The sequence below is a fragment of the Homo sapiens genome (assembly GCF_000001405.40).
Source record: "Homo sapiens chromosome 14 unlocalized genomic scaffold, GRCh38.p14 Primary Assembly HSCHR14_CTG4_UNLOCALIZED".
NCBI classification, from domain to species: domain Eukaryota; kingdom Metazoa; phylum Chordata; class Mammalia; order Primates; family Hominidae; genus Homo; species Homo sapiens.
Window position 1 is genome coordinate 36,566 of NT_113888.1, and position 19,191 is coordinate 55,756.

Consider the following 19,191-nt stretch of genomic DNA (forward strand, 5'->3'; position numbering starts at 1 on the left):
AAAATTACATACGTGGCTCACATATTTATTGGACAGCACAGCTCTAGAAGTTTAGGAAGAAATAAGAAAAATATTGAGAATAGGTAGCGACAGTAGGAAGTTTGACCTCCTGTAAGACTGATTCCAATAAAACTAATAGGTGATAGTTTTAATTGGCTTTTTCCTACTAGAAGAAGTAAGTGTACTTTACATGCCTCTTTGTTCTCCCTCTTTCCCCTTCAATTTAGTGGTTAGCGTGTATTTACTACATCAGGCTTAATATTCACTAAACAGTGTTAGGAAGACTTAGGTAAATGATTCCCTGATGAACACACTTGATATTCAAAGCACTTTCCTAACCCATTTTTAATTGGAATAGAGTCAAATGTAGATGGCTTATTAGTAGTCATCTCATTTAAATCTCATGGAATTTTCCTACTAAATCTCAAAGTAAACAATTTGTTATAGGCTGTTTTGTCAAGTTTATGGAAGGGACAGCATAGGACATGTGGTACTTCATTTCCAAATTGCTTGAGATGGTTTTCATTATAATCATACATTATTTGCTTCTGGTTTTCCAGAAAAGCCAGCTAAACCTGTGGTTCATTTAGATATAAATGAAATATCCACAAAGGATTGCTCAAAGTGACTTATGCAACTTGAATATATATTTTTTCTGTAGGGTGTTTATTCCAAATTATCTGGCCATTTGCTGCAATTTGCAGTTTTTTAGAAAACACCAAATATTTCTCAAGTTAGAGATGTTTTAATAAAAACAGTCATATTGTACTGGCAGCAGACAAATAAAATGGCCCTTTATTTCACAGTTGAGAATTTGAAATTGGAAGGTAATTAACATATGTAAGGATGATGTATTTGCTGCCTGGCTTATAGGAATGAGCCAAGTTGTTTTTTGAGGTATGTTGTTGCTGTGTATGTCCCACCTATTTTGCTTCCTTAATGAACAATGCAAGTTTGAGACAGAAATATTTGAGAACATTTTTATCAGTTGTGACATTTTGATAGTGAACATTTTATATCTTCTGTCAACTTAAAATGTTTGCATCTTCTGTCAGCTTAAAATGTTTAATTTGTTATAGCCAAATAATTTGGCTATAATTGATAATTTAATTTATCAAATTAAATTGCTTTTTTTCCCTTTAGACTTTCTTCAGTCACATCTGAATAAATCCCTTAGAAGTAAGCTAGATGTAATATAATGAAATGCTTAAAAGGGCTGTGTATCTTCATATTACACTTACAGTGATTTTCTCTTGTGCCCATTATATTCTACCTGCAGCTAGTTGAGGTAAAGAGAGGGCATTTAACTGTCAAGGGAACCTGTGAGGAGACTGTAGAAATCTGGAAAGTCTCTTGAGTCTTTGAGGGATTTTGGGATGCAGAGAGTGGGGCTGGGATCTCTGGCTAGGTTGGAGCCAGCCTGCATTTGTATCTTTATCTTGGAAGCAAACTTAGAATGCAGAGATAGATGTGGCCTGGATGCTGCTAACTCTAGCCAACCACTAAATCTTAAGGTGGGAGAGATGCAGCCTTTGGCTGGGTGCTAAGCTGCTGTAGCTGGTTGAATGTAGAGGTCACTATCTTTTCTGAATATTTGTAAGTAAATTAAATCATTCTTTACTCCTGTATGCCTGCCAACCAAATGGGAAATCGCTATAGAAAAGATGGTTTAAATTTTAGTCTTTGAAGTGGTTTATGCACGTTTCTGGAATCAAGATTTAACACGGACTTGGATTGGATATTGAATATTTTTGATTTGTCTACTTTTCTCTCCATAGGGAGCTTATAGCTTCATTGCACTGTGTGTGGCATTTGGGTCCTGTTTGACAGCAATGACTGCCTTTTTGTTTAGTGTCTGTGTGCTATGAAGATTGCACACAGGGGTCCAGATGCATCCTGTTTTGAGAATGTTAATGGATACACCAGCTGCTGCTTTGGATTTCACCCATTGGTGGTAGTGGACCCGCTGTTTGGAATGCAGACAATTTAAGTGAAGACATATCCATATATGTGGCTCTGTTACAATGGTGAAATCTACAACCATAAGAAGGTAGGGGAAAAGAAGCCAGATGTGTGGATGTGATTAAACTTCAGAGCTTGTTGGTTACGATGAGATTATATATTCTGTATCATGCTTTTTACTTTGCAAAGCATTCTATGTTATCTCATTTGCTCTAAGTATGTAGATAGGGAACTGATGAATAAAATGGTGAGTGAAATCACTTGGTCACAAAAAAGTGATAAAAATGGGGATTACACAGTTTCTTTGACTCTTAGAATTTTTTCTCCTTCTCCCCAGCTTTTTGTTTTGAAAAAAATTCTAACATACAGAAAAGAACAGAATAGTGAGCACCTAGATTGAATAATCATTAATGTTTTGCCATATTTGCTTGATTTTTCTTTCTACACACACACACATACACACACACATACACACACACACACAGTTTTTTGCCAAATCATTTGAGAGTATGGTGCAGATTTTGTGACACTCCTAAATATATAAGCATTTATCTCCTAAGAATAAGGACATTTTTCTACATAACATCAATACCATTATTAAACCTAAGAATCCATAATATCACCTGGCTGGGTGCGGTGGCTCACGCCTGTAATCCCAGCACCTTGGGAGGCTGAGGTGGGTGGATCACGAGGTCAGGAGGTTGAAACCATGCTGGCTAGCACGGAGAAACCCCATCTCCACTAAAAATACAAAAATAAAAAAAATCAGCCAGGCGTGGTGGTGGGCACCTGTAGTCCCAGCTACTCGGGAGGCTGAGGCAGGAGAATGGTGTGAACCTGGGAGGTGGAGCTTGCAGTGTGCTAAGCTTCAGCCACTGTACTCCAGCCTGGGAGACAGAGCAAGACTCTGTCTCAAAAATGAAAAAAAAAAATCATAATGCCACCTAATATCCAGTTAATACTTAAATTTCGCTAAGTGTCTGGAGAATTTTTTTGTTTTTTGAGACAGAGTCTCAACTTTGTCACCCAGGCTGGAGTGCAGTGTTGCGATCTCGGCTCACTGCAACCTCTGCCTCCTGGGTTCAAGCGATTCTCCTTCTTCAGCCTCCTGAGTAGCTGGGACGACAGGCCCACCTGTCACCATGCCTGGTTAATTTTTTGTATTTTAGTAAAGACTGGGCCCAGGGTGGTCTGGAACTCCTGAGCTCAGGGAATCTGCTCACCTTGGCCCCTCAAAGTGCTACCAAGAATATCTTTATAGCTGGTATTTGTTTGTTTAGAGCCAGATTTCATTCAAGATTCATGCATTTGGTTGTGATGTTTCTTGGTATTTTTTCTGAGACTTCTTGATAGATACCTGTCAGGCACTGATAGAGAGTTATATCCTAACCATGTTTTGGACATTTTTATCTCTGAATAATAGCTTTTGTCATTGTTTGTTGCCTGCTCACGGGAACACTCTTAATAATAGTCTTCTTGTTCAAAAAGTTTTAAAATAGTTATTCAAGAAATTCCTTTCACACATTTCTTTATTCCTTTATTAAGGACCTAATATGCACCAGATATCATTTTTCTAGGTGATTGTAGATGAAATGGTGAAAAGGAAAGGCAAGAATGGAATTTCCTGCTAGTGGGAAGTAGAAGAGAGTATTAAAACTTTTTTCTTTCTAAGTCAAATCAGTGTCATATGCATGAGAAAGCTAGGTAGTATGATGGCATTATCAGCTTGGCTTTCTCCTTAAATGAAATAGGAAGTGCTCTGTTTTACTCAGATAGTGTTTTTTTTTCTAAAAAGCTAAAATAAGTTAAATATTTTGAAATTAATTAATTTCTGTTCTAAATTAGTCAAAAGTTATATTTGTAAAACTAGAGAAGTTTGTTCCATTGCTTCTACCAAGCATCTCAGCTTATGTAGTTGGGGCAGCTAGAAATCTAATGAACAGAATGCATATTTTAGGCTTATATAAAGTATTCTGCAACATAAGGTCAAAAATACCCCCTACCCCCTTTTTGATAAAAATAAAGCTTACTACTAATAATAAAATACAGCCAGAGGTGTGCTGGGAGTGGAGGGGGACTGAGTTAAAGAAAGTAGGAATGGGGTAAAGGCTGGGACAAAGAGCAGACTCTCTCCCTGCAGGGGAGTATCAGGGGTCTGCAGCCAAGTTAAATGACAGCATGACTTCAGGAGGCCAGATTTGAGGGCTTTTATCTAAGATGCAGCATCGGAGTTTGGTTTAAGAGAGTAGGAAGTGATACATCTGTTACCCAAAGGACACTTCTCTTTTTAGAATAAATTACCTGCAGAGTTTAGGCCAAAGAGGTGGGCAAGGTAGATTTGGGAAACTGTTGCTTGCTAATATCACCAAACGCTTTCTTTTTATACTTGGTGGAGGCTTTAATTGGGGCAAGGACATTTTTATACAAAGATAGAGAAAACAATCACCTATGGAATTTGATTCCTTGCTCCATGCCCTCGCTAGCACCTCTCAACATGCTTGATGATATTTAAAATTTCTTCCTAGGGAAAAAACTTTTCATCCCACAATTAGAATCAGGCTTAACTTGCTTTTTGAAAAGGTAGTAGGCAATTTGTGTTAAGATCTAAATTACCAAGATTTTTATATCTTGAAACAGATTTAGATGATAGAGTGAGGTCGGTGGTGGTGGTGGTTGGTGGGAAGGGGTAGTTTTTTAGAGAGGGTATTAAGAGTTGGGGTTTTCAATGTGAGAGAGGTGAAGGTTTGAAAATAAGTAAGAAAAGCACTAAAAGGGTGAAGTCAAGGGCCTCAGAGAGCCAGGATGATAGATTCTATTTCACAGTTTAACACAGGATCACCATAGACCAAAGCAAGTTTATAACTAAGGCAATGAAGATCATCTGTCTCCTCCCTTCCCCATTAATTGTGAACTTTAGTTTTATAAGCTCCTAAGAGGCAGAAAACAAATTGGAGACTCGTCATCTATTTGGGAGTGTATGGCATGTATTTATTGTCCTAGGTGCTGGGTTTATTTTTTTCAGCTAATGACAGTTTTCCATGCTTTATGGTAAGTGACCATAAAGTAAGTGGTAAGTGACTTACCCTTCAGGCAGTTCAGCCCAGGACAGTCAGCAGAAGACTGTTTCCAGACCCCACCTGCTAGTTACAGATCATCCCTGATAGAGCAGAGAGGGGTGACCAGGTAGTGACTTTATAGTCACTGGAGGCAAAGCCCATTTTTGGACAGTTCATTGAGGGCTTACAGATAAAAGGTTCACAAATTATGCAGTGAGCTGGATGGAGTGTGAAGCGTATTTATGGGTCGTGCACATACATAATAGGTTTACTTTTTGAGATTTCAAAACATGTTTTAAACTTAACCTAGGATTCCCACCTGATTTAAACCTCTTATTTCTCTAATGTCAGCCAAAAATGTGAGTATGACATACAAAGAGAAATACATCAAGGACTTTTCATCCTCATAGTTTGCCAGTGATGCTGGAGAGTGTCAGAATTGGTGAGTAGCCTAATCAAACTTTCTTGCTCTGCATGCAGTGGCAGACAGTCCCTTTGCTGTTCCTTTGGGGCATGCAGACTAATAAAGTGCCACCATCATTTTATCTCTCAGTGAGCAGTAGTTTTAATGCTACTGCAGTGGTGGGAGCACTGGGCGTTGTCGTCCTCACCTGAGGACAAGCAGCTTTGTTTTGGATCATGTATCTGTTATTGTGATGGAGCCATTTATTTTTCAGGGAATGACGCCAAATGATGTTTGTCCCTTTGCTTTACATTTTTATAGCTAGGTCTTTGAAGCTGAACTGGAGGAACTTCTTAGCCAATACTGTCTTCTTAAACCAAAAGTTGACAGTTGCAGAAGACACGTTTTTTAGTGTCACGGCAACCAAGCAACATATTACCTTAAATTAAATTTACAGGTTGAGCATCCCTAATCTGAAAATCTGAAATTTGAAATGCTTCAAAATCTGAAACTTTTTGAGCACTGACATGACACCACATGTGGATTTTGATGTCCTAGTCAAAGTGCAGGTGAACAACACACAGTTTATTTGATGTTCTCTAATGAAAAAAGACCCTCTCAGCCCCCTTCAGCTGCAGTATAACTTTTCTACACATGCTCAGATTTCCCCATGCAAGCACACACACAAAGGGTCACAGAATGGCACATGTGCAAGCTGGACAAGCCAATGGCAGGATCCCCACAGATGGGACCTAAGTGCATGACTCGTTGTGTATTTTTCTTATTCTCTGCTCTGTGGTGTTAGCATACTGAAAATGTCAATAAGGCCTGTAGATATCCCTGCGAGCAGCAATGATAAGGAAAAGTAGAAACACTTAGAACACAGAAAGTCAAGCTGTTGGAGAAATTGGACTGTAGTGTAAAGGTATAGATGACATGGTGAAAATGTGTGATAGAGATATTGAAGATATTGAAGGACTAGAGCTACCTGCATTCATAACAGAACAAGAGGTCATGTCAGTTTATAAAATTAAAGAGAGACTTCCAAGACAAAAGCCCTTGATAATGAGGCAGATGACTCTGGAGAAACATTATAAAAAACCATCTGGCAGAATGCCTCCTCAGCCTCAGAGGACTCACCTCCTAGTTGCTCAACTCCTGATATTTCTTCTCACCTAAAAAAAGAAAAAAAATACAATGTACAGTAACCTTTTAATCAAAACGCAGCCTTGTAGGTGGAGCCTGAAAGCTTGCCATTGTTTATACAGCTGTTTAACAGCTGATGCAGGTATTCTGGTGATGCTACTGTGTTGCTTATTATTTTTTACTGTATTAATGGCATGTCATATTTTTACTTATGTGTGAATAATTGTGTGAAAATGATTGCTCATCAGTAGCATATAAATTCAGAGTCAGAAATGATGGTCAGTGATGTCAGACAGCCACAGATTTTCCACATGGAAGCTGAGATAGTGACACCTTTGCTTTCTGATGGTTCCATGTACACAAACTTTGTTTCATTCACAAAATTATTTGAAATATTATATAAAATTACCTGTAGGCTATGTGTATAAGATATATGAAACATAAGTGAATTTCACATTTAGACTTGGGTCTCATCGCCAAGATATCTCACGTAGATGCAAATATTATAAAATCCAAAAAAAAATTCCGAAACCCTAAACACTTCTGGTTCCAAACATTTCAGATAAGGGATACTCAATCTGCATATATAAAATATTTATGTATCACATACATAGTATGTATAAAATATGAATTTCCATTCCTCTACAGGTTACTATTCTGGTACATTCCCGTTATATTCTGTTTATCAGACTGCAACTAAAACTTTCATGGGTTCAGCTTTATGTTGAACAGAATTTGCAGAATTATGAGTTGAAGCAAACCCTAGGTTGATAATGCTATGATTCTCCTAAATCACCAAAGTGCATGAAATGATTTTAAAGCTCCAGAAATACTGAAGCAACTTTGTGATAAAAATTATTAGTGGATGCACAAGGAGTCTATAATGTCTTGGTTTTGCTATTGCTTACTAAGGTGCAGCACCAGTTTGAATTTGAATACCAGACCAAAGTGGATGGTGAGATAATCCTTCATCTTTATGACAAAGGAGGAATTGAGCAAACAATTTGTACGTTGGTTGGTGTGTTTGCATTTGTTTTACTGGATTCTGCCAATAAGAAAGTGTCCCTGGACAGAGATACATAAGGAGTCAGACCTTTGTTTAAAGCAGTGACAGAAGATGGATTTTTGGCTGTGCGTTCAGAAGCTAAAGGTAATAGTAAATTTACGTATAGATTTTCATTATTGTCTTGGTCGTGTGTTTTCTTTTAAATTATATCTGAAAATCTCTTAGCAATCCAGAATTTTACAAGTGACTAATTAAGTTGTGAGTTCTTACCTTTTTTAAAAAAACAGAGTAGTTTTACTCTCCTTTTCAGCACTTAAATTCTGTAATCCTTGAAGGATGGGTCTTTAGTGTAGTCATTTATTTTTGGTGTGCTAATATGCTCTGCATATAGCTTGATCGTAAGTGCAGTTTTAAGTTTTCCTGTGTCATACTGTAATGATAGGGTTGGCTCTGCAATTATTGCCCTGCAGTACTTTGCTGAAGTTATAGCACAGCAAATATTAGGATTTCTAAAACAGCTTTATTGGCAGTTTACATGCCATGTAATTCACCCACTCGAAGTATATAGTTCAGTGGTTTTCAGTATATTCACAGATGTTGGGAACCAACACTCCAATCAATTTTAGAATTGTTTTTCCACCTCAAAAAAAAATCCTATGCCCTTTAGCTTATTTTCTTTCTATTTATTTATTTATTTATTTTAAGAGATGGGGTCTTGCTCAGTCGACCAGCCCAGGCTGGAGTACAGTGGTGTAATCATAGCTTAGTGCAGCCTTGAACTCCTGGGCTCAAGCAATCCTCCCATCTCAGCCTCCCTAGTAGCTAGGAGTACAGGCATGGACCACAACACCCTGCCTCCTGTGCCGTTTAGCTTTCAATTCTGTCTCTCCACATACATCATCTGCACCCCCGCAGTTGTAGCACTGGCAATCACCAATCTTTCTGCCTCTGGATTCCCTATTGCGTGTGTTTCATATAAATGGGATTATCTATCATATGGGCTTTTGTTACTGGATTCTTTCACTTGGCATAATACTTGCAAGGTTTGTCTATGCTGTGACATGTATCAGTACTTACTTTTTATGGCCACATGATACTCTGTTACATGGATACACTGGATTTTGTTTATGCACTTGTCAGTTGATGGATATTTAGGACATTGTTTACCCCTTTTGGCTATTATGAATAATGCTGCTATAAACATTGGTGTATAAGTTTTTGTGTAGACATTTGTCTTCGGTGTTTATCTAGGAGCAGAATTGCTCAGATGCATATAACTGTCTAATTGAGGAACTGCCAAACTACTTTTTGAAATGGCTGCATTATTTTTTATTCCCTCCAGCAGTGTATTAAAATTTCAGTTTCTCCACATCTTCACAAACACTTACTGTGTGACTTTTTAATTGTAGCTATTATAATGTATGTGAAATTGTATCTCCTTGTGGTTTTGATTTGTATTTTCCTATTGAAGGTAGTGTCTTTTCTCATGCTTATTGGCCATGTGTATATCTTCTTTGGGGAAATATTTGTTGAGATCTTTTGTCATTTTTTTTTCCTGCTAGGGATCATTTTATTTTAAAAACAATAGACTTTTTTTTAGCAGTTTTAGAAAAAATAGAGAGAAAAGTGCAGAGAGTCCACATATGCTCCCTTACAGTGCCCCTGCCCAGTTCTCCCAACTCTTAACACCTTGCGCTACTGTGCTAAATCGATTAGATTTGATGAACTGATACTTATATCTGAAATTCATAGTTTACTTCAGGGTTCACTCTGTGTTTTATAGATTTTTGGATTTGACAAATGTATAATGTCATGTACCCACCATTACAGTATTATGTAGAACAGTTTCATTGCCCTAAAAATCTCCTGTGCTCCACTGAGTCATTCCTCCCCCTCCTCTTCCTCCCAAACCCCCGGTCATTACTAATCTTTTTACTCTCTAATTTTGCCTCTCCCAGAATGTCATATAATAGATCATGTAGTATGTATCCTTTTCAGACTGGCTTCTTTCACCCAGCAGTATACATTTAGGGTTCTTCTGTGCTTTTTCATGGCTTGATAGCTCATTTTTTAAATTGCAGAATAATATTCCATTTGTTTGCATGTATTGCAGTTTGTTTATCCATTCTTGAATTGTCTATCTCTAATTGGGTTGTTTTGTCTTTTTATTACAGAATTGTAATTGTTCCTTATGTACCCCAGACACAAATCCCTTGTGTTCATCAGGGTTGCAGGATACAAGATCAATATACAAAAATCAATAGTATTTGACACACTTTAACTGAGTACTACATACTCACAATGAGCAATCAGAAAATGAAATTAAGAAAGCAACTTCATTTATCATAGCATCAACAAGAATAAAATACTGATATATTTAAGAAGTGTAAAACTTGTACTCTGAAAACTATAGAACATTTTTGAAAGAAATGAAAGAAGATCTAAATAAATGTAAAAGTATCCCATGATCATGGACCTAAGGCTTAACATTGTTAAGAAGGCAATACTCCCTAAACTCATCTACAAATTTAACTTCATCCCTGTCAGAATCCCGGATGAGTTCTCTGTAAAATGGACAAGCTGACTCTGAAATTCATATGGAATTACAAAGGACTAGGAATAGCCAAAATAATCTTTTGAAAATGAGAACAAAGTAGGAGAACTCATACTTACTGACTTTAAAACTTACTACAAGTCAGTGGTAATCAGGACAATATAATACTGGCAGAAGGATAGATGTATAGACCAGTGGGATAGAATTGAGAGTCAGATATGAACCCATACATATATAACCACTGCTTTTGACAAGGGTGCCAAGATTATTCAGTGGGGAAAGAAGTTTGAGAACTGGCACAAGGACAACTAGATATGTAAACATATGCAAATCCTGGAATAGGACCTTTACCCAACACCACATACAAAAACTATGGATGCAAAAAAAGTGGATCAAATGGATCCATTTTGAGCTAATCCACGTAAATGTAAGGACTAAAACTATAAAATCCTGAGAAGCAAACATAGGAGTAAATTGTCATGACCTTGAATTTGGCAAAGTTTTCTTAAATATGAGACCAGCAACAAGAATAAAAATTGATGAATTGGACTTCATCAAAATTAAACATTTTTGCACTTCAAAGGACACCGTCAAGAAAGTGAAAAGACAACTCACAAGATGGAAGAAAATACTTGTAAATCATGTGTAGCACTTTTTGATGATAAACTTGAGGAAGACTTTTTTATTTTTTATTTTTATTATACTTTAAGTTCTAGGGTACATGTGCACAATGTGCAGGTTTGTTACATATGTATACATGTGCCATGTTGGTGTGCCGCACCCACTATCTCATCATTTACATTAGGTATATCTCCTAATGCTATCCCTCCTCCCTCCCCCCACCCCACGACAGGCCCCGGTGTGTGATGTTCCCTATCCTGTGTCCGAGTGTTCTCATTGTTCAATTTCCACCTATGAGCGAGAACATGTGGTGTTTGGTTTTCTGTCCTTGCGATATTTTGCTCAGAATGATGGTTTCCATATATATATATGTCAGTTGCCAGGACTGCTGGGCAAGCCTGGGAAAGAGAGTACCTGGGGAAAGCAGCCTCCTGCTCCCCCGTGCCTTCTTTGAGCCTGATGTTCATTTGATGTGGTACTATATAATCACATCCAGTTTACCCTTTGAAATTCCTTGATTGTTCTTTTCTATTTCCTTGACACTGTCCTTTTACAGACCACATAATCTTATCTGGAATACTACAACAGTTTTCTTTTCTCAGTGATTTTAGAATAACCTGTCAAAAACTCATCTGACTATAGTAGTACCTGCTTACAACCTTTTAATTACTCCCCATTCCCTACCAGGCTGTGTAGCTCACTTGAGCTCTGCTAGGTGGTGAGGGAATCTGGGTCCTTTTTCTGGTATTTGAATTCAGTGCTACATAGGTTACTGGCTGGGTTGACAATCTGAAATTGTAAATCATGAGTATTCTATGTAGATAGACTGTCACGATTTACAATAAAACATTGACATGTCAAAGATCATGGTGATGTGAGGTTGGGTACTGTCTGTGAGAATTAATTGAGGAAATTAAAATTATATGGTTTTATTTACATAGAGTGTATAACAACTAGTTAAGGGATAGATGTCTTCTTATCTGACTTTCAAGTATCTAAGAGTGGATTATTGTGCTTGTTAAAGTTCTGGGAACCATGGCTATTTTCTGAAAATACCTCAGTGATGACAAATGAATGACTACCAGCCTCTTGTAACATTAGGACTCCAGTTCATCCCTTTGCTTCATAGGTGTGTCTTTTCCTTTTGTATATATTTGCTTTAGTGTAGAAAATAGGTTTTCTTGATTAGAAATCTAAGAAGAATAAATTGAAAACTGGAGATTTTTCTATTGCTTTGGATTACCAAAATTAATGTAATTTGGCACTATATCCCTGTGCCATTATTGTCTCTCTGGTAAGTAGATGGTAGGGTTTTGGGTGATTAAATTTTTTTCCCTATTTTGCTTATTTAATGGGCATATGTTTGTATTAAAAAGGGGAAAATAAATAGGAATGTAGAAGATGTTAACTAATCGTGAAAGTTATTGGGAAGGGTTACCTAATTTAAAAGTTGGCCAGCCATGGCAGAACTGCCTGTAGTCCCAGCTGTGGGGGAGGCTGAGGCAAGAGGATGGCTTGAGTTCAGGGGATAGAGGTTACAGTGAGCTATGATTGTGCCACTGCATTTCAGCCTGAGGGACAGAGCCAGACCCTGTCTCAGAAAAACCTAGAACAGCAACAAACAGAGAGAGGAGCCTGGACGGATTGAGCAATATTAGTGTCCGGGAGCTGCTGTAGTGATGGCTTATGACATCACGAATTTATTCTCTCACAGTTCTGGAGGCCACAAGTCCAAAATCAAGGTGTGGGCAGAAATGCGCTCCCTCTGCAGACTCCTGGGGAGGATGCTTGTTTCTTCCAGCTCTGCGACTGTGGTGCCTGCAGCCATTGGAACCAGCTCTGCACGGCTCAGACCTGGGTGATGAGGACACAGCTTTGCAGGTGGGCAGCCACATCCCCAGGGGGAGACTGTGGGCCTGTGGCAGGGTAGGGGCAACCAGTGCAGGGGCTCCCCATTGTTGCCCCTGAGCTCCTGGGGCTTGTGGAGAAAGACAGGTGGATGCACACATACTGCAGCTCCCTGGATCTGAGCCTTGGTTTCCCTACCTGTGAAATGGGCACCCATGGCAGCTCAGAAGTGTCTGGGAGCATCCCCTGTGGGGGAAGGTGTGGGGGGCTGCTGGGGCACAGTCATGGGGAACCCCAGTCCCCCTCTCCATGTGCTTCCCTCAATGCTCCCTGATGCCAGCAGTCCTGCCCCCGAACAGAAAGGGGCATTCCTGTGAGTTCCTTGTGTGGGGGACTGGTCACAGAGACTCCCCAAGTGCAGGGCAGGGTGGAGGGAGGCTGAGGGGTGGTTGAATGGACAGGAGAAGAGCTCTCTCCAGTCCCTTGGGTCTGGGTGGCCTGGGGAGCATCCATTTGGGCAGGCAGCTGGTGGGGCTGGTGGCTGAGCCACTGTGGCTCGGGGACCCCAGGCCAGGACAGAGTAGGGTGGGCAGGGAGAGCAGAGTGCGAGCATATGGGGCAGGACAGGTGTCTCCTGGACAGAAAGAGCCCTGGTCACTCATGGCTGCAGCATAGCCATGGCGACAGGAAAGTGCTGCTGTACATTGTGCTCCTGGGGCTGGCTCCCAATGGACACCCAACAGCATCTCCCCCATTGTACTGTGGGATGCTGGCAGTGGTGCTGGGCACTGGGGTAAGAGCCTTGGCAAGCCCTTCGCTCCCTGGGTGTGAGACTTTGGGCTCCTGGATGCCTGGGTTTCTGTGTCCTATTTTTCCCATGGAAGATGTTTGGGGTGCTCCCAGGAAATGGGGAGGGCCCTGGGGGGTCAGGATTGTATTATTAAAGCCAGAAAGTCTGGGGTTCCATTTTTAGCACAAGGCAGGCAGCCCATGAGCCCCAGCCCAGTGGCCAGCCTGTGTGGGAGGGGAGTGGGGGTCTGAAGGAGTGAGGCTTCTGTTACTGCAGGCTCCACAGCAGCCCCCCAGGGTGGCCCGTGTGGGCTGGACAGCGGGCACTGCACCAGGGGCTCTGGCGCCGACCTTGAGCCATGCATCTAATGCCTGTGAGAGTGATCTCTAGGAGCCACTGCACAAGGGGGCAGATGAGGGAACCCTGACATGGGACAGCCGAGGGCGACCCCAACACGGAGCGGGCAGCTGTGTCCAGGCTCCACTGGATTCCGCAGAGGACAGAACACAGCTCTGACTCCAGGGTGTGGGCTCACTGAGGGACAGGACAGGCTGGGGTTGGGAGAGGGCCATGCTGCAGCTGGGCCAGATCCCACCTGCACCCCTCAGATGGCAGGGCCTGGACGTCTCCATCCCCACCCTGACCCGGTCAGTAACAGCCATGGGCCAGCAGCCCCCAGCAACCCCTCCCTCTGTGAACTGCCAAGGACAGGAGGTACCACAGTCTCTTCCAGGCAAGAGCTGCTGGAGCCTTCTTTATTCTTGTGCTAGAAGCCCAGGGTGGGGAGAGGAGCCTGAGAACAGCCCAGTGTGGGCATCCACCTTCCTGCCCACTTTGGAGGTCTGAGTCACCTCCGGCCACTCTCCCAATCCCCAGGAGCCCAGAGGCTTCCTGGAGCAAGCCACACCTGATCTCCACCATGGGTAGGAGTTCAAGGCCAGGCCAACAGGGACTCCACAGAGGGGCCTGTGGGTTAGCAGCAGCTGCCAGTGTCCAGATGGCCTCAGGGGTGGGGGTTAGACAATCTGGAGGTCAGCAGGGAATTCAGCATGAGGAGACAGCCCTTAGGGTTCTGGCCCAGCAGCCCCAGGTGCTGGCTCTGCACTGAGTCATGAAGTTTGTGGGCCAGGGGCGTTGGCCTCTCTCTAGCTGAGAGTGACTTCCATCACTGCTGTCATTAGCCTCCCCTGCATCAACCTGTCCCTGGGGTGGGAGCACAGTTGGCACAGGGACCCTCAGGCCTTAGTTTTCCCTGCTGTAAAATGCATGTGATAGGCTGTCATGAGGTCTGAAGGAGTTAAAACCTGCCATGTGCTCAGGATGACACCTAGCTCGGTGCCTCCTACCCTGGTGCCACCATCCGGCATCAGAGATGAAATACTTCTCCCAGGCCCCCTCCCCTGGCACCCCCCACACTCAGCTCTCCATCAGCCACCCCCTCCAGGGTGGGACAAGGAGGTCCTGAGCCTGATGGGGACCTGACAGGGCTGGGCAGCGCCACCTGGGCCTGGGCGATAATGGGAGCCTGAGTGTGGGGCCTGCATGGAAGGAGCCATTGTTTCTTGGGCCTCTTAGTGGCTACTTCCCTAGAGTCTGGGAGAAGTGCTGCTGTTCAAGAGGGGACAGTGCCAGCAGCTCCTTCTGAGGCTGGGGTGGGCACAGCGTGGAGGGGCCTCACCTCCACCCACCTCCCATGGAGGTTCCTGGCTCTCCTGGAGGACTCCTTGCTACTGGGCTGAGGCACCAGGGCTGACCAGTCCCAGGATGGTGTTGGACAACCTGCATCCCCCTGCAGCAGGCAGGGAGGGCACTGCAGCCACCACCCACCCACACCTGACCCCTCCCTGGCCATCGTGTCTAGGGTGGCAGGGAGTGAAGCCCCCACCCAACAACCTCCCCCAGCTCAGGGGCCTTTGAGTTCACCACCATCTGCCTCACTGCAGGTTTCCCCTGTGCTGGGGGTGATTGCAGGGAGATGGTTCTTTGGCGTTCCCTGGGCAGGTCATTGCCTCAGCCCCTGCCTGGTGTCCTGGAGCAGCTTTGAGGAGCTACACGGACAGGACACCAACTGTCTGCAGCCCCCAGGTGAGGCTTGGCTGCTGTGTCCCACTGCCTCTGCTCCTGGCTGTCAAAGCCCCATGGTAACAGCATCCAGGGTGAATTTAAATGGCACCCCAAAGAATAAGAGTGGGCCTGGGTGTCACTGTAGTGGCTGGTGGCTTGTGACAAGTAGTGTGGCTTCCGTGGTGATGAGAAGTGACAGTTCCCCCTGAATCTGCACTGGAGAGAAGGTCCTGGAAGCTTTCAGGCCCACCCTCCAGGGTCTGGGTCTGCATCTCTGAGAGTGGCTGGGTGAGCAGAAGAATCCTGACTGCCTGGCAGTCGGGTTTGGAGCTGGGGAGGGCTGGGCCTGGTTAGCAATGAGCCTATCACAGTGAACCAGAGCTCAAGATAAAGCGAGAGGCCTAGCCCAGACACCTCCTTCCCTGGTCCCAGCCCCTGTGCCTTGGCCTGTGCAGTGGAAGCCAGGCTCCCTCCTCCAGGAAGTCTTCCCTGCACTTCCTGCTCACACACAGCCTCTCCCAGATTTCTCCCCATCCAGGCTGAGTAGGATTCCCAAGAAGGCTCCTCCCTGAGCCAACTGCCTGCAGTCAACATTATCACCTCCCCCAGTGAATGGCAGTAGTGTTTTTCATCTTCAGCAGTGGCCTCTGGAGGGGTCCTAGCAGGTCGGGGAGAGAGGTCTGAGTTAGTCCCACGTGAAAGGCAGCCCATGCCTCTCCTCCCAGCAACCCCTAGCAGCAACTTCCACCTGGCTGACCCCACCCAGCTCACAGAGTTGCCCAGCTGGGTGTCCTTGTGGTTGATTGGGGGGAAGGGGCTGTTACCTCCCGGTCCCCTTCAGGCTGAGACAAGAGCCCTGTGGGTCTGGATCTTGCAGATGGGACCCCCACCCACATGCTCTCCAGGTGGATGCCCACCCTGAGCTGTTCTCAGGCCCCTCTCCCCACACTGGGCCCACACCCCGGAGGGAACTCCATGTACCCCTGCCGATCTGCCCATCTGAGCCTCAGGGGTCCTGGGCACTGAGAGCTGGGCTGGGCTGAGCTCAGGTACACACTGTCATTGGGGACGGAGAGGGGATGCTGAAGTGGGTGCTTCTGCGTGGGGCCTGCCTGGAGGATCGCCACAGCAGGTGCACCCAGCAGCCAGACCAGCTTCTAGCAGAATAAGCGCACTGTCACAGGGGTATGTGAGCTGAGGCTGGGGGCCTGGAGGTGCAGGGGGAGGAGTTGGGGAGATGCAGAGGCCCCAAAGATGTCCCAAGTCCCTAAGACTCTGGTGAGGGAATGGAGGAGCCAGCACTGGTGGGGAAGTGGGCAGGGGGAACTGGATGGCCTGGCTCTGAGCTGGACACACGGTCTGCACCCACACTTGAGCTGTGCTGTGAAGGCCCAGTCCCCACCTGGGCATGTCCTGTCCTCTGAGGCACAGGGATTCCTCCCCCTCAGCTCTGACCCCTCATCTCCAACTGTTGGGATGACGAGTCCATAGGCAGAGCCAGCCTCACAGGGGACCCAAAGGCCAGTTCAGATGGACAGCAACTGGAGGTCCCACCGGGCACACACACACACTGTGCAGAAAGCTAACGCACTGTTTATTTGGGGGATTGGGGGGAAGCACCGTGCCGCTGCTCACTGGTAGCCAGCCAGCTGCAGAATGGTGGGGTAGCAAGTACGATGGGCCATGCACTTCTGGCGGTCGATGAAGACACTGTTGGTCATGGCGGTGACGTCCTTCTCCAGGCTCATGTGGATGTCCTTGAGGTTGCGCAGGGACTGCTCCGCTTGTAGAAGCTTCTCCCGCAGCGCTGTGATGGACTTGTACAGCTCCTCCACCTCACTCACCAGCTTGGGGGTGTTGGGGGGTGTGAGCTGGGGCTGGGGAGGGCAGAAGTATGCACCTACTGGGGTGGAGGGGACCCAAAACTCCCAATGGGAGCTGGCAGGAGGTCCTGGGAAGACGCCATGAAAGGATCCTACCAGGAAAGCGGCTCTAGGGCAGAGCATAAATTACGAGGGTCCTCCCAGGGAGCGCGGACCTGAGTGGGAATGAGTGACCCGCGTGCAATCTCGACCCTGACAGGACAGGACTGGCCTCAGCCGACCAGGCTCAGTTCTTTCCATTCCTGATATTTGACGGAAGGAGGCACCCAGTTCCTTGAAGGAACTGAGGGGCAGGGAAGGAAGAAAGGTACTTAGGCTCAGAAGGGGCCACCAGGCATCCGTTAACAAGGGAAACAAAAGGACGGCCCATCTATGCCTGTAGCCCAGGCGTAGGTCATACTTTCCACCAGAGGTGGGGACAGCACCCTCAGGGCAGCAGGGAATGGCCCTCTCTGGCCTCTCTGGCCCCGTGGCCTCCAGGAGCTCACCTTGTCTGAAGGAGCTTCCTCCCGGGAAGATGAGGTAGCACAGGGTGGGGTGAGACCACGTGGGCACAGGTCCCTGGCACGGGGAGGCCCCCGACCCATGACCTGCCCAGTGTCATGTCTATATCTGTGTGTTTAAGGCGTGCTTGCATGTTGTGTGTGGCCGCAGAGTCTCCCTCCCCTCTCAGCACCTGTGGGGGATGTGTGTGTGGAGATTGGAGTGTTTATTGGAGAGGGTCGCAGCGAGGAGGTGGACGGGGGCACCTGGGACTGCCTCAGAGGCCCAGGCAGTACCTGAACTGGGCTGCATCGCGGCACAGCTGCATGTTGGGCCGGTGTGAGAGCAGCTACAGCCGGGTCTGGGCTATGTGCAGAGGTTCCTCCTTGTCCTTGATGGCCTCCTTCAGTGCCACCACGTTGTGTTCCTGATCTGTGATTTCCCGCAGCATCTGCAGACAGGACAGTGCCCCTTGGGCCTGTGCCCCCATGCCCGGGCATATGGAATGTAGAGACCAGTCTGGTCCTACCCAGCTCCTGGGGCTGTGTCCAGAGGGTGGTCCTGACCAGTGGCCCTGGGGAGGCGTGGGTGAGGGGAACAATGTGCACGGGGCCCCCAGCGGGCTCTGGAGAGTCAGGCAGCCTGTTGTCTCTTAGCTCTGGTCCAAGAACCCCCATCCTTGGTGGTCACCAGGACCCAAATCCTGCTCAAGGACTGGGGACTCAGAGGTGGTAAAGGCCATGCTGAGGCCCTAGAGTCAGAGCCCTGCCTGCCAGGCCAGGACTCTTGGGGACCTCCCAGGCAGTCAATGCTCCCCAGACCAGCTCCTGCCTCCATCCTCCCCACAGCTCCTCCTTCTCAGTCATGGGGGTTGCAACACACTGCGATCATACCCAGTGTCACCTGGTTTTACATAGGTTTACGGAGAGGTGACACTTGCTTCTGGGGTCCCTCGGGATAAGTGGGACAGAGGAGAAAGGTGTTGAGGGCCCAGGCCAGGTGATGAGAGGGGGCAGAGTGGTGGGCAGGCGCCGGAGCCGTCTTCGGGGTTCAGGGTGCCCCACCTTGTGCAGGTGGTGCTGCAGCTTGTGCCGCGCGTCCTCCAGTTCCTCACAGCGGCGCCCGAAGGCCAGGTTCACGGCGTCACACTGGAGTCCCAGGTCCTCGGAGGTGTCGCGAAGGATGCAGTCCACCAGCACCCACAGGTTGGCCGAGTCCAGGCGCTCGCGCTGGGCGTGGCACAGATTGTCCTGTGTGAACTTGGTCCGGGTCTCTGGGGTGGAGGCGCTGCGGGGCTGGGGACAGCCAGGAGAGGGTCAGGGAGGCTATGCCAGTGGCTGGGGGCCCTGCCGCGCCCCCATTCCCTGTCTGCACC

The 19,191-nt window shown here is 45.8% G+C and overlaps 1 long non-coding RNA gene and 1 pseudogene across 4 annotated transcripts in view; one reads left to right on the forward strand and one right to left on the reverse strand.

Annotated features, from left to right (window-relative positions):
• LOC105379274 (uncharacterized) overlaps window positions 1-19,191 on the forward strand; it is a 31,237-nt gene that overhangs the window by 5,777 nt on the left and 6,269 nt on the right. Inside the window, exons 3-6 of the long non-coding RNA XR_007068493.1 lie at window positions 1,779-2,050; window positions 5,370-5,460; window positions 7,480-7,717; window positions 12,463-12,629. This is a non-coding gene — a long non-coding RNA (uncharacterized LOC105379274). The remainder of the gene's footprint in view (window positions 1-1,778; window positions 2,051-5,369; window positions 5,461-7,479; window positions 7,718-12,462; window positions 12,630-19,191) is intronic.
• MAFIP (MAFF interacting protein) overlaps window positions 17,024-19,191 on the reverse strand; it is a 61,485-nt pseudogene continuing 59,317 nt past the window's right edge. For 2 of the 3 annotated variants that reach the window (NR_046440.2, NR_046439.2), the window contains 3 exons: window positions 18,881-19,111; window positions 18,113-18,267; window positions 17,024-17,327 (listed from right to left, as the gene is read on the reverse strand). The product of NR_046440.2 is annotated as an MAFF interacting protein, transcript variant 2 (transcript). Of the gene's footprint in view, window positions 19,112-19,191 lie in introns of all 3 variants that reach the window. The other variant, NR_046441.2, reaches the window with a different exon arrangement.